Source organism: Homo sapiens, chromosome 4 (assembly GCF_000001405.40).
Source record: "Homo sapiens chromosome 4, GRCh38.p14 Primary Assembly".
In the NCBI taxonomy this organism is placed as follows: domain Eukaryota; kingdom Metazoa; phylum Chordata; class Mammalia; order Primates; family Hominidae; genus Homo; species Homo sapiens.
Window position 1 is genome coordinate 38,560,484 of NC_000004.12, and position 14,450 is coordinate 38,574,933.

General features: G+C 41.3%; 1 long non-coding RNA gene across 1 annotated transcript, besides 2 other annotated features; it reads left to right on the top strand.

The window, feature by feature from the left end:
- Nucleotides 417-496: an enhancer, noted in NCBI's record as "active region_21438". NCBI's record gives its function as "activates an Ori minimal core promoter by ATAC-STARR-seq in GM12878 lymphoblastoid cells {active_cell/tissue: GM12878}" and the evidence as "EXISTENCE:reporter gene assay evidence [ECO:0000049][PMID:35858748]".
- Nucleotides 627-716: an enhancer, noted in NCBI's record as "active region_21439". NCBI's record gives its function as "activates an Ori minimal core promoter by ATAC-STARR-seq in GM12878 lymphoblastoid cells {active_cell/tissue: GM12878}" and the evidence as "EXISTENCE:reporter gene assay evidence [ECO:0000049][PMID:35858748]".
- Nucleotides 3,520-13,477, top strand: LINC02278 (long intergenic non-protein coding RNA 2278). The gene is made up of 3 exons (NR_146991.1): nt 3,520-3,633; nt 8,604-8,769; nt 9,969-13,477. It is a non-coding gene; the product is annotated as a long intergenic non-protein coding RNA 2278 (long non-coding RNA).
- The last annotated feature ends 973 nt before the right edge of the window (nt 13,478-14,450 follow it).

Sequence of the window (14,450 nt, forward strand, 5' to 3'; positions counted from 1 at the left end):
GATCACCACGCCCCCGGGCCTGCTCCAGCCCCAGTCATCCTCCGTCTGTCCTGATCTGCTGCAGTTAGTAAGCCCACGCGCAGCCTAGTACACTTGGCCTAATATGCACCGATGACTAGAAGAGAAACACATACTGCATACTTCTGCAGTGTTTTTAGACCTTATCTAATCAGGCTGGGTAAATTAATTACTCTTAATAATTTGTTATTATAGTGAGATATTTGTCTTTTTAAAAAGCTAAACATTGTATGCTGTTTTCCTGATGGTGCTTAGTTGTCTACTCTTTGAAAGGTTCATGCCTAAACCACTCTCCCAGGTCACCAAACCACCCCAGGGCAGCAACCTCAAGAAGAGGCAAGGGCAGAACTGACCAGTTGGTCCTTTCTGGACACGCCTGAACTTTCACGATGTGAGAGAAAAGTCACACACTCACTTTCACAGGCTGCTCCAGATGGCAGCGAAAACCACACATTTTACAAGTGAGTTATGAGTGATCACACAAAGGGTTACTCAATCTGTTTCCACTTGACTAAGAGTTTTGAGGTAAATCCTTTGAAGCTTGCATAGTCACCTGGGACTTCAAAAGTAAGTTATTTAGAGCTGTACAGAGTGAAATAGTGGTTATTGCTGATTAATCTTGATAAATACGACACAGCAATGAAGTAGGTATTATAGAACTGCATGCTTGATAAAATGAATTATTTCTATATAGGAGAGACATAAAAATGCATTAACAATGGAAATAAGTTATATGTGTAATCCTAAGATTGAAGTTGCTGCTTATAATTTACAAAGCATCATCTCATTTATTACTTCAGTTGATCTTCACAAAATGTTCTAAGGTACATTATCTTACTATTCCCATTTTATAGATGAGGAAACTGAGGATCAGAAAGGCGAAGTGGCTGATGGATATAGTTTGTATATTTGTCCCCACCCACATCTCATGTTGGATGTAATCCCCAATGTTGGAGGTGGAGACTGGTGGGATTTGCATCATGGGGCAGATCCCTCGTGGCTTGGTGCTGTCTTCCCAATTGTAAGTGAGTTCTCACGAGATCTGGTTGTTTAAAAGTGTGTGGCACCTCCCCACCCACACTCTCTCTCTTGCTCCTGCTTTCTTTTTTTTTTAGGCTGATCATCTTGCTGCCACTTTTGCCATGTGAACTGCCTGCTCCTGCTTTGCCTTCCACCAGGATGGAAAGCTTCCTGAGGCCCCTCCAGAAGCTGATGCCAGAGCTATGCTTCCCATACAGCCTGAAGAAGTGTGAGCCAATTAAATCTCTTTTCTTTATAAATTATCCAGTCTCCAGTGTTTCTTTATAACAATGCAAAAACAGACTAACAGGACCCAAGGACACACAGCCAATAAAATGACATCGTTGTATATTTGTTGCAAGTAACAGAAACTCCAAATCAAACCATGTTTTCTAAACAGTAATGGGAATGTATAAACATATGTTACAGAAAAAGTCCAGTGGTATGGTGGGCTTCAGACATAGCTTGATCAGAAATTCAGCTCTGTTTTATTTCAATTGTCTTGGATTTACCCTTCTTTTTGTACCAGCTTTATTCTCATCCTCTCTATTAATAGCAAAATACTGAAGCAGTCTCAGGACCCACCACACTGTCCAGAAGGAGAAAGGATATTTCTTTCTCCAATTATCAAACAAGAGTCATAGACTTCCCTTTTCTTGCACCAGTGGCCAGGGAATGCCAAAACAGGCCTAGGGTATATATCCATGCATGAGCCAATGCCCATGGCAATTAAGGCTACAACCTAGAGGCCTAAAGGTTGGACCAGTAGCATCCAAGCCTTGCAGATGCTATACCAAGTGGGAGGGGTAGAATGGATGCTGGAGAGTAAACCACAATCCACCACAAGCCAGGACCTGAATTCATAGCTTATGGCTCTAAATCCTAGGGGTTTTTTTCCTATACATTACATGTTGTTGTTCTTCACTTGTAGATCTTATGACTCCAAGTAAAGCTGCTATTTTTGCCTATAAATGTGCCTTAAAAGGCCCTCAGGTGACCAGATGTCTTTTCCAGCTGCTGCACACCAACACTGGACATTTCTTTGTGTGTGCTGCCATGATCTGTGAAGTCTTCTGCTTTTTTGGTTATTTCTCTAACTCATGTTCCTCTAGATTCTTTTGCCCCATTCATTTTTGTTTCAAATACATTTTTGTCTCTTTGTGTCAGAGCCCAACCAGGAAGACAGAAATCATTCCGAATATTTAAAACAGAGGAAAGTTAATGCAATGAGATGAAAGAAACTTAAAAGCCAAACAAGGGATGGTGAGGCAATCCAGAGACCAGCAGCAGCAGGAAGTTGCCGCCACTCCTAGGCTGGAGGGACAAAGGGAGGAGGTGATGCTAGCAGAGCCCAGGGACTGGGATTACCCAGAGGAAGCTGGAACCATGACAGACTTCCTGTGCAAACTGGAGTCGTGGAAGAGAGGGAGCAGCTGCCAGAGATACTACCCCAGGACAGAGGGAGAGGGAAAAATACCCTGACGTCTTCCTTCCTCCTGCTCATCAAACTCCCACCAGAGCCTCCCATTAGCCAAACTCAGCTAGAAGCCAGCTAACACAGGGCCCTGAGAACTGCAGCCGGGAGGGGTCAAGCCCCTCCCACAATACAGAACAGGGGAAGGAAGGGTGAGGATCTCACATCACACAGTCCAGAACCAGCTATATTTGCATGACAAATGTCATACATGTTCACTGTGGAAGTTTCAGAAAATACAGATATGCAAAAATAAAAAGGTAAAAATCATGTTCTATTAGTTCTGAAGAGGTAAGATCCAATCAGCCAGTCCCAGGGTACTGCTGAATGCTACCTGTTTCTCATTAATGATTGAGCAAGCCATGTTCTAGTCTTCTCCCTATCAATAGGCCAAGCACTCTAGCAGTTTGACATTTTGTTATACACACTCTGAGAAATTCAATTTCTCCCTTCTATTAAGTCAAAAGTAAAAAAACCAAAACCAAAAAAAAAAAAACCCCAGATTTTAGAAAGGTTGTTAAGAAAAACTTTATTTCTTCTAGGAACCTGTTTTTGCTTTTTTTCCCAGGTAACATGTGCCATATGATTTATCAGGTTTTCTCTTTTTGCCCAGGCTACTAGGAAACTCAGAGATACATCTCATGCTCCAGACCAGCAACTTTAACCCTTTGGGTAGGCGTGTGCTTCTTCCCTCTTCTGCATGTTCCAAATTGTATTTTATCATATCAACTCTATTATGCATGTGTGTGTGTGTGTGAAGAAGACAGGGATGAATATAGCCACAGAAGGGAGAAGACCTTGAGTTATTGCCCCAGAGAGTTGCTGGGCATCACTTGCCCTGTCCAACTTTGTCCACTCTATGCCAGCTGCCCAGCACTGGGAGAGTCATCTGCCACAGTAGAACAGACTTTTCTGTCACCCTCCTCAACAGCAGATGGCCGCTCTGCACTCATCCGTGTCATACATCATTGCTGAGTGAGACACCACCAACCACTGTGCAAATCACTAAGCGTCTTTGCCTCCAACTCTGTGGTAGGCTGGGAATTATGCCTGCGCACTCAAATCCACTCTATTTCAATAATTTTTCAGCTAAGGGGGCTCAACTGAGCATCGTGACAATGGTAAGGGGTGGAGCTAGGGGCTGTCAGTGGGATTATGGTTAGATTTTTAATTAGATGGGGCATTTTAATTAGGTTGGGCAAAAGCTTTTTCAAGGAGGTGAAAGCATTGTCTCCTCCGGCGAGCACGTCTCTGGCTTATTTAGCTTCCTTGATTCACAAGTTAGTCCCTCTTGAAGTGTTTTTCTTGTACTTTGTTTATTTGAGGCTGATAGTCTGGGCATGGGGCCCAGTTTAATATAATTTTTACTGTTGCTACCACATCCCAAATTCTATTGAGATGGTTGTTATCATTGTTGTTAAGACACCTTACAGTGTCAATTACCAAGGCCAGGTGTACTCCCATACTCCCCCCACCCCAGCGCACCCCTTTTCTTTTCTTTTTTTTTTTTTGAGACGGAGTCTCGCTCTGTTGCCCAGGCTGGAGTGCAGTGGCGCGATCTCAGCTCACTGCAAGCTCCGCCTCCCGGGTTCACGCCATTCTCCTGCCTCAGCCTCCCGAGTAGCTGGGACTACAGGAATCCGCCACCACGCCCGGCTCATTTTTTGTATTTTTAGTAGAGACGGGGTTTCACCATGTTAGCCAGGATGGTCTCGATCTCCTGACTTCGTGATCCTCCCGCCTTGGCCTCCCAAAGTGCTGGGATTACAGACATGAGCCCCTCCGCCCGGCCCCCTTTTCTACTTCACCTATTAGAAATGAAGCTGATGCTTACTCCCGTGCCATTGAGACAATGTGCGTTTGTGACTCTGTAGCATAGCAAAGTAGATATTTGGTAATTATCTGGATAATTTGATTGCGATAGGGAAATAGTTCCAATCACTTAGGTCCTAGAGTTTATCTGTGAGTCTAAAGAACATGAAATCTCCCCCCACATTGCTTATAATTTCCTCTGAGTTCTATAAATACATAGGATGCTTTTACAGCAAATTTCCCTCCCTAATTATGTTTTACATAATCTAATACATTCATATTAGTTTGCCTCCTCTAAGCATATAGCAGCCAAAAGATACCTTGGCTGGAAGGCTAGAGAGGGAAACTGACCACAGTGCATCATCAGTGTAGAGTTAACAGCTGACAATAATAATATAGATTCAGCACTGACAAAAGAAAGGAAATAGTGCAACATTTGGTTTGAAAAGTGTGTGTGTGTGTGCGCGCGCGTGCGTGTGTCTGTGTGTGTTCCAGTGTTCCATTTGGGTCAGACCCTTAGCATGACTTTAGAATGCAGGCGTTTAAGGTGAGGGATTGTAATAATAACCCACTTCAGGAGTGTGGACATTAGCCAATAGACATGCACCTCTGGCTTCCCGCCAAGACCTGAGGTGGAGCCCAGGCCTGGGCTTGTCCACAAGGTTCATGTCTTCAGCAGATACAGTCTTGCTGCAAAGTTGTACTGCACTAACAATGAGACTCACTGGAAAAATAAATAAAATGCTTTAAATGTTTAAATGCATTTCCAAGTATTCATCTTCCAAATATTTAGACCCTGAGCCAATTTGGGCCAAGAGCCCAAGCTTCCTGTACATGCAGGATGGTTCCAGCAATCTCCTGAAGATCAGCAAATATGTAACAACTTAAAATATCATCCTCTCAGAGCCAAAAGAATAATTCCCTAGGTATTGCTCCAGGAAATCAACTTGCTGTCTCTGTCCGAAGTCCTCCTTCATAATGTCTGTAGGAACACATTAGTTTTAGTAACTTTAGTAACTTCTTACAAAGGCCTCCATGAGACCATGGTCTGTGTCCGCTGTGAGACTCCAATATAAACAGGAGTGGGAAAGGAGATTTGAGAGTAGAGACGTGTAGGATGAAAAGGGAAAAGGGAAGAGAGAGAGGTGCAGAAAGAACAAACAGCCTATTGAGGATATTGGTAGCCATAGAAGGTTTTGATGCCTGCACCAAGTCTCGAAGGGTAAGTCTGAGTAAACCAAGGTTGTTTGGTTTTGTTTTGTTTTGTTTGCTTTTTTACCAGAGGGGAGGGGTGTTGGAAAACGACTTCCTTTTGCATTTAAATTTCTCTAAATTCAGTAGTCAGGTAATTTATTCTCCTTTTTCCAGCCATATCCATACTAAAACATTTTATTTTCCTTTTTCTTTCTAAGCCACCACAGCAAAAAGAAAAAAAAATCATAGCACTGCCAAGGAATTTATCTACTTCTAAAGTTCAGCAATCATATCTTTATCTAGGAAGCTCCACAAAATAAAATAAATACTTTCCATGTAGATTTTGATTCTAGGGTACCTGTATTAGTGTTTTGTTCAGTCTTCCTCGTGGACTAAGTAGAACAGTGAAGTTGAATCTTACATGCACTCAACTTTTGTAAGTTCAATTATATACGAGACAGAGAGAGAGAGAGAGAGAATGAATGTTGGTCTTAAAAAGCATGTGCCCCAGAGTGAACATGAGAAATGAATCTATTGTGCCTGAACTGACTGCATGCTCATAGATAACTCACCATGCAGTCTCTTGCTTAAAATACACATTTCTCATATACATGACCCCAAAATTCAAGCAAACTGCTTCACTGATACTCAAACAAGAAAACAGCCCTGCTTTCCAATGATGGAGGGAAAACTGGCTGAGAGACAGTGTGCCAGTCTCTGACATGACACCTCCCTAAGAGAGTTGCATGAGTAGTTTTGATAACCTGTGATTTTCATCTTGGGGCTGACTTTAGAACCTGACCCTCTCATCAGCCACATCTCTGCTGAATTAACCCCCCTTGGCAAATGCAAAAGTAAAAAGAAGTGGGATCATTTTTCCAATATCTCTGAATTTGTGCCAAGACTAGAAACTTTGCTTTCTCAAACTCCATGGCCAACCACAAAGCACATTGCAATCTCTTTAGCCTTTTCACCAATTTGGAGTACAAAAATGGTCCACAGACAAAAGCCACAAGAGACAGGGAGCCATTTGTTCTTTTATTCACCAAATATTTGTGGAGTGCTAATGATGTAACAGGCACAGGATTTAGTAGGGAGCTACTGCTGAATGAAAAGAGTCAAAAGCCCTACTTTTGACTTGGCAATTATCAAGCTAGCTTGGTAACCTACTGTTGACTTGGCAATTACCAAGCTTGTTAGCTTGCTGTGTGACATTGGAAGAATTACTCGACCTCCCTGAGTTTCCTTTGCCTACTTCACCAAAAAACGTGAAACAATACGGCACATAAGTCCTAAGGTTTCTCTCAGTTATATATTATGTGAAATTGGCTTAGAAATATTTTTTAAAACTTGAGAGAAATATAACAAACTTCCTTATAGCAACGTTTGTCTATTACTAACAAGCACTTTGCCCCGGTAGCCTTTTTTCTCAGCTTTGCTCCCCAATGTTACGGTCAATTTCACCACCTATCTCTCTTCCACATGCATCGACATTAGCTGCTCCCCGTCTCCCACTCCTGGAGCTTCCAGTAGACACATAAACGAAATGAAGGGGTTTCTTCCTAGGTTTTGTTCCCTGTCATAGTTGCTGTTGTTCAAGCCCTACCAGAGTGATTCAGGCTTCAGTGTTTTGATTAAAAGTAGTGATAGCCATGTTGTGGACAAAAGATATGGAAATAGATCTCTTGTATGATTAATCATACTTTCGGTTGTGTAAATGTTTCATTTTCAATGACTACATCATCGGTAATATGACTTTTGTGTTATATCATCAGGCATGTGGACCTGTTCACACTTAGTTATTGAATTTGGCATAATAATGGCTTAAGCACCAATTGTCTTTATCCCATCTAACTGAAGGAGTAATAATAGCAAACATTTGGTTACTCTGGGGGGAAAAGTTCTATAAAATGCTTAAATGTTTGTGATACTATATCAAGGAATGTTAGCCAAATATTACTTTCTGCAATACCCACTTCTTAGTTGTTCTATTCAATCAATAAATGAATATTGGAAGAAGGCCTACTCAATCAAGAGTTGTGCTTAATTCACCCCACCGAGCATTCAGGAGAAGACCAAGTAGAAGTGTACAATTTCCTGAAATAAGAGGAGATATGGTGGCAAGCCAGGGATGCCTCAATTTGAGTGCCACTTTTGTAGGTAGCTAGATGTTTGATCCCCAAGTAGCTACTCTGTCATTTTGAGCTTTACATTCTCCACAAGGACTTTAATAACCCCTGCTTCATCTTCTTCACAAAAATTTTGTGAGGATAAATTGATGATGTAAAAAAAAGAGGAAGAAGTATCACATGTACATAATGCTTACTTGCCAAGCATTTCATATATATTCACTTATTTAATTCTCATAACAACCCTGTTTTATAAGAGACCAGTCATTGAGAGGTTAAGCGGTTTGTTAATAAAAGGTGGAGTTGGCATTCAAATTGAGAAAGCATTCATACTTTTATCCCCTATATGATAATAAATTATACAGAGGTAGCTACTAAAATATATTTAATGCATAGAAGGGAAGAAACAAACTTTTTTCACCCTCTCCCACTTTTAACGGAAATGTGGAGGTGGGAGAAGATAAATATCTGCAATAGTTTTAATGCACACTACATGATTAAGATGACTTTGCTGGGTTAATAACAATATGTTTCACATTCTGTAGTTTTTCTCACAAAGTTATAATGCTTTTGATCTATCAGGTTTAAAAATATCATGCATTTATGCAACAATTCCTTATTTTCCTCCTGAATTTGCATGCTAATGAATTAAAATATTTTTTTAATATCACGACACTACGAATTGCTGGACTCAAGGGAATCTAGTATCTCTCGCATTCTGCCTGCTTCTATAAAGCAGGCTGAAACTTGAAAATCAAAGACACCAGCAACCTTCCAGCAAACAAAGGCAGTCATTATGTTTTCTGCACTTAGGAGCTTTTACTCTGCCAGGCAGATACAGAGAGCACTCATCTCTTTCCAACTCCCAAATCTCTTGACTTCCTCTTTCTCCTTCTCTCTGGCCAGGGCCTTTTGAGAGAGATGGCCAATAAGCCCCTTGTTTCAAATCTTTGCAGGAACAAGTAGATGCTACTCTCAGTGTCCACTAAACCATAAGTCCTTTGAGGATACAGGAAGACATCCACCAATCTCAAGATCAAAATGTGATAAGAGGAAGTCTGCAAGCAAAGAAGATGTTACCCACCACCACCTCTTACAGAAATGGCAGAATCTCTGGGAATAGTAAGCAGTTTATTCTATTCTTGCATGTTATATATACTAACCAAAGGTTCAGGAAAAATACTCTCCACTTAGTTTTACCTTTTAAAATATTCCTATTGTACAACAAAGTACACTATCAAGAATTGGGTATTGGCCAGGTGCGGTGGCTCACGCCTGTAATCCCAACACTTTGGGAGGCCGAGGTGGGCAGATCACTAGAGGTCAGGAGTTCAAAACCAGCCTGGCCAACATGGTGAAACCCCGTCTCTACTAAATATAAAAAAAAAAAATTAGCCGGGTGTGGTGGTGGGCACCTGTAATCCCAGCTACTTGGGAGGCTAGGGCAGGAGAATCACTTGAACCTGGGAAGTGGAGGTTGCAATGAGCCAAGATCGTGCCATTGCACTCTAGCCTGAGCAACAGAGTGAGACTCTGTCTCAAAAAAAAAAAAAAAAGAATAGGGTATTATAATACATATTCTCTCTGAACCTCATAATAGCCTCATTCTATTCTACACTTGAGAAGGATCCAGTGATAGGATTTGAACCCAGGTTCAACAGATTCCAAAGCTGCCCTTTCCTTAACAACATACTGTCCCTGCATGGATTCCAGGGATCAGAAAATAGTCACGTATGATCATATTTCTTTTTTTATTCTATGTTCTAAAATATGTATAATTGTACATTATCAGGAAAATAACAAAAAGATCTAAAGAGAATAGGAGGAAAGTTATCTGAATTGTTCAGGTTTTAATCACTAAAAGCAACACATCCACACCAAACACATTAAAAAAAAATCTCCTTTGAGTTTACAACTCTTGTGATGTTTCCCCAGCCTTGACTGCTAGGAAGAAGCAATTGCATAAGCCCAGAAAGGGCTACCAATAGACAACCAAATCAACATAGAAGGTAAACTTGCAAATAAAATGGTTTAAGATGGGATTGACTGCCGGAAAATCAGAGCAGCCATCTCTTTTTAACATGTCAGTACATGTCCCAAACAGTGTCCTCCAACCTATAATTTGCTTGTATAGTCCAGTCAAGAAGGACTGACTGCCCAAGGGCGTGGAACTGTGTCTTCTCTCTTGCCAACCCCTTTCTTCCTCCCACTAACAATCCAGCAGATTTCAGTCTCAAAGACAGGAGTTTAGACTTGATAGCTCTACACTGACCCTATCCCATCCCAACAAACCTAATGTTTGTATCTTCACTTCTCTGCAGATGGTTTTCACAAAGAAAGCATTCCTAATCACTCAGGGGGAACTAGGTCACCACCACAAATTGTCCTCCAGTTAAAAGCATGAACTCTTCTGGACACGAATTCTCTTCTGAGTGTGAGGATGCCATGACTGTGATACAGGGTAAAGTGGGATGGAGTGCTTAATCCCCAAGAAAGTCCATCAGGAATAGGAGAAGGCCAGTTTAAGAGCATTTAATGTTGTCCAACAAGTCCAACTGAAATCGGGAGTGGTTAATCCTCATAAATATAATATCTATCATTAGTTATTCAGGAAATATGGGAAGTCAGTACCAAGTCAGATGGTCCAAAACACGCAAGTCAATTAAGCAGCCTGAAAGAGGTGACACGAGGCATGAGTGATGCCCAAAGAAGGTGACACGCCCAGTGTAGCTGGTTACAAAGCAAGCCTCCTGATAGCTGGATGTGTTTTGAAATACTTGTAAAGTCCTTGGTAAGCATCTCCTATTCTTGTGATAAATAAACACTACCAAGGAAAAAGTACTAAACCACTCAACTGAAGTTTGAATTGATAAAGAATGGTAATGTGCACAATACTGAATGACCTTGGAGCCTCTTTGATCTGTGCGTTTCTATATTCAGCTCAAGGTCCCATTGAAACCAAGGAGTTTATGTTTGGGCCAATAAATAGAGCTAATAAAAGTTCACCCTTGGACTGGGACTCTTTGAATGGCTGGAACATGGGTCATTTATGGTGTTTGATGACTGTGAATGCCAACAAAACTACTACTGAGTATATATGGCTTCTTTTACACCCTAGATGAGAAAAGCCTGCCTGTAGCATGTAGGAGAGTAAAAAAGAGAATAAGCAACCTGATGCCACATATTGAAATTTCATTTGACAAATATGCATTGAATATCTACTATGTGGCAGACAGCCTTCAAGCAGGAGGGATACACAGATGAACCAAATGTAGGCCCTGCCTGTGAGACTCCAGACTGGACAGAATGCACTTAAGTCCACATAGCAGTAATACACGTCGGACTGTGAGGATGGCTGAGCAGAAGGAAGAGCAAGGAATTCTCTATGGGAAGACTCTGGAAGGCTTTAACAAGGATGTGCTCTTTAGCTGAACCTTAAAGCATGAGTGAAAAAAAAGAGCAGAAAAAGGTGGTGTTTTGAGCAGAGAACAGACACTGAGCAAGAAGCAGAAGAGCAGAGGAGCCGAGAAAGCTGGACAGAGTTCTAGAAATGTGGCATGGAAGGAATGAAAGGTCTGAGGAGGGAAAGGAGGTCAGGACCAACTACGAATGGTCTGGAATGACTTGCTACACGTGGATTTGACTTTATTTGTAGGCCGGGGGGTTGTAGAGGTTTTATATTTTTATACATTTATTTTTTAATTTTCATATTTCAACAGAGCTTGTTTCAAGTAATTCTTATGTAAAACATGAATGTATACAACAAAAACAAGCGGGTGATGTTTCATTAGTACAAACGTGCTTTTATAATCTTAACTTTATTAAGCTTGCTTATTCTTAAGTTAACCAATGAGAACAATTCTAATCGTCTGCACATGAGTCAAGATTTTGCACTCTGTGCAAGTGACTGAAAACTCAATTCAAACTAACTCAGGAAAAAAAAAAGTGGGGGAAGGGAGGAAGAAGATTTATTACCCATATAAATCCAGGAGGGGTTCTGGGATTCAGGAATCAGTTGATTGTGGGGCTGAAAGAATATTATCAAAGCTTCAGCTGATTTCTCAGCTCCATGTCCCCTCTATAGTAGCTGCTTCATTCTCAACATGAGCATCCTTGGTAGTCCCCAGGAACGCTGGGCTTAGAATCACCTTTACAAGCGGCAATCTTCCTTTCCTACCAAAGCCCACCACAGTCCCAGAACTAAGCCTCAGCGACCTGGCCCGCCTCACATGTCCATCCCTGAACCTGTGGCCAACACAATGGTGTATCCCAAATGAGCATGGTGGGTCCTGCATACATCCAGGTCTCGAAGGAAAATCGAGCTGCTGTCACCGGAAGGAGGATGCACAGGAAAAAAAAAACACAGTTTATTCTATTTTGACCAATGTGAAAATTTTAAATTTAGGATAAGGGATTGCAGGTTTATACCAGTTTTAACACTCACTTTGTTTCTGTATTTTATTTGCACAGTATTGAGAAAATTCTGATTCATTACTGGTAACTGTTTTTTAAATAGCATACCTGTTTAAATTACACCTGGAACATTCAAAATAGTCTTAAATTAAACTTGTGCCAAAGTGTAAGTAGGTTGAAAGTCTGAGCAATGGGAAGTTTTATTTCAAAGTTTAATTCTACAAACAATCTCCTCTGTTAATTTAAGTGTTCACTGGGAAGATGTTTCTCAAATGTATCTATAATATCTAACAAGAAATTCAACAATGTTACTTATTTTTTAAACTTAGTATCTCAGTAACTATTGCTCAAAGCTTGAGTGTGATAAAATTAATGTTTTGCTCTTTGAGTCATAAAGTTAGGTTTCAACTTAATTGCTGGCATGCTATCAGCAAATGTAAGCATGGTGATATTGCAACTTCACATTGCCAAACTGAACTCATTCAGTTTCTTGAAAAACATCAGCAAGTTTATGCAACTCTGTTATATCAGAGAACTATTTGCTAAGTCTCATTTGGGATACAATATTTAGTGATTTCTTGTCTCATTTGAAAGAGTAATAACAACACCTTGCCTCAAGACAGTTGGTAAGTGTACTTTCCCAGGAGAAAGTACACTGTGGAACCCACAACCCAATACATTCCCAAAAACTATAAAAAGGCTGAAATTGGAATCTCCTGTCTCATTAAACTGACAATGTAAAGGAAATCGCTAATCACTGTTTTTGCTTTTGTTTTTTGAGACGGAGTCTCGCTCTGTAGCCCAGGCTGGAGTGCAGTGGCGCAATCTCGCTCACTTGCAAGCTCCGCCTCCCGGGTTCACGCCATTCTCCTGCCTCAGCCTCCCCAGCAGCTGGGACTATAGGCGCACACCACCACGCCCGGCTAATTTTTTGTATTTTTAGTAGAGATGGGGTTTCACCGTGTTAGCCAGGACCGTCTCCATCTCCTGACTTTGTGATCCTCCCGACTCGGCCTCCCAAAGTGTTGGGATTACAGGCGTGAGCCACCGCGCCCAGCCTAATCACTGTTTTAAGAGATGCTCATGTCACCTTAATAGCAAGTGCTTTTCTGTGCAACTTGCCATGTCTTATTCAAAATCACATTTCACCAAGAAAATTCCTCAGCACTTTGCACCACTTCATCCCATTCTGCATAGCCTTATTTTCCTAATTGGGCTAACATGACTCTTTTCTTAGCCTGAGAGCCCTGCAAGGGCTGGAACTCTCTTATTATGTGCTTTCTCTCCATTGAGCTTACTAATGTATACTCAGAGCTTAGACTGTAAATGTTTGGTGAATAAATTATGTATGTATGTATGTATGTATGTATATTTAATGTGTTTTATTTACAAAAAAAATTAAAGGAAAATTTTCACCAAGCCATTGTTTCAAATAAAATTCTTTTTTTTTAATTTTTTTTTTTATTTTGAGACAATCTCACTCTGTCACCCAGGCTGGAGTGCAGTAGCGCAATCTTGGCTCACTGCCACCTCCGCCTCCTGGGTTCAAGCGATTCTCGTGCCTCAGCCACCCAAGTAGCTGGGATCACAGGCATGTGCCACCATGCCCAGCTAATTCTTGTATTTTTAGTAGAGACGGGGTTTCACCATGTTGACTAGGCTGGTCTTGAACTCTTGGCCTCCCAAAGTGCTGAGATTACAGACATGAGCCACCACACCCAGCCTCAAATAAAATTCTTGAGATTAAGAGTTTTTACACCCCTTATAAATAGCACACAAAACAAGAAACCAAAAACTTATCTCCTCTACAGAAATGTTTTGCAATGGCTATTTTGACCCCAGGACCATTTACATTCCTCATTCATTCATCAAACAGTTAGGAAGCACCTACTACATGCTATTAAACTGTCCCCATTGCTGAGGATATCTTCTGAAAGACATTAAATACAGTTTTTGACCTCAAGGAGTCTAGTCAGGGAGAATCATAGAACTCAAATCATCATCATGCCACCTGATGTGTGCCATAAGAGAGATACGAATATTACGTGGTGTTGATTAGGCTCTTTCGGGTTGCCAGGAAAAGAGACGTGCTCTGGTGACTTGCATTAATGTGGTTCATTATGAGGAAGTAGGGAAGAACAGGAAGCAGTTTTAGCAGCTGCCTGGCGGGTCTGGCAGAGCCAGGAATGTCATTCAGGACATAGTATACCTCCAGCCACCTGTTCTTCTTGACATTGCTTCAACGGCAAGCATCTGTTGCTCCTTCTCTAGTGCTCTGCCAGTGTGATGACTCAGCCACGCTCTGCCCTGCTTTCTCTGCTCGTGCTGCTAAATCCTCTCTGCATTCCTTTTCTCTCCTCCATGGCTCCCGCTTAGTTGTGGCTCCTACT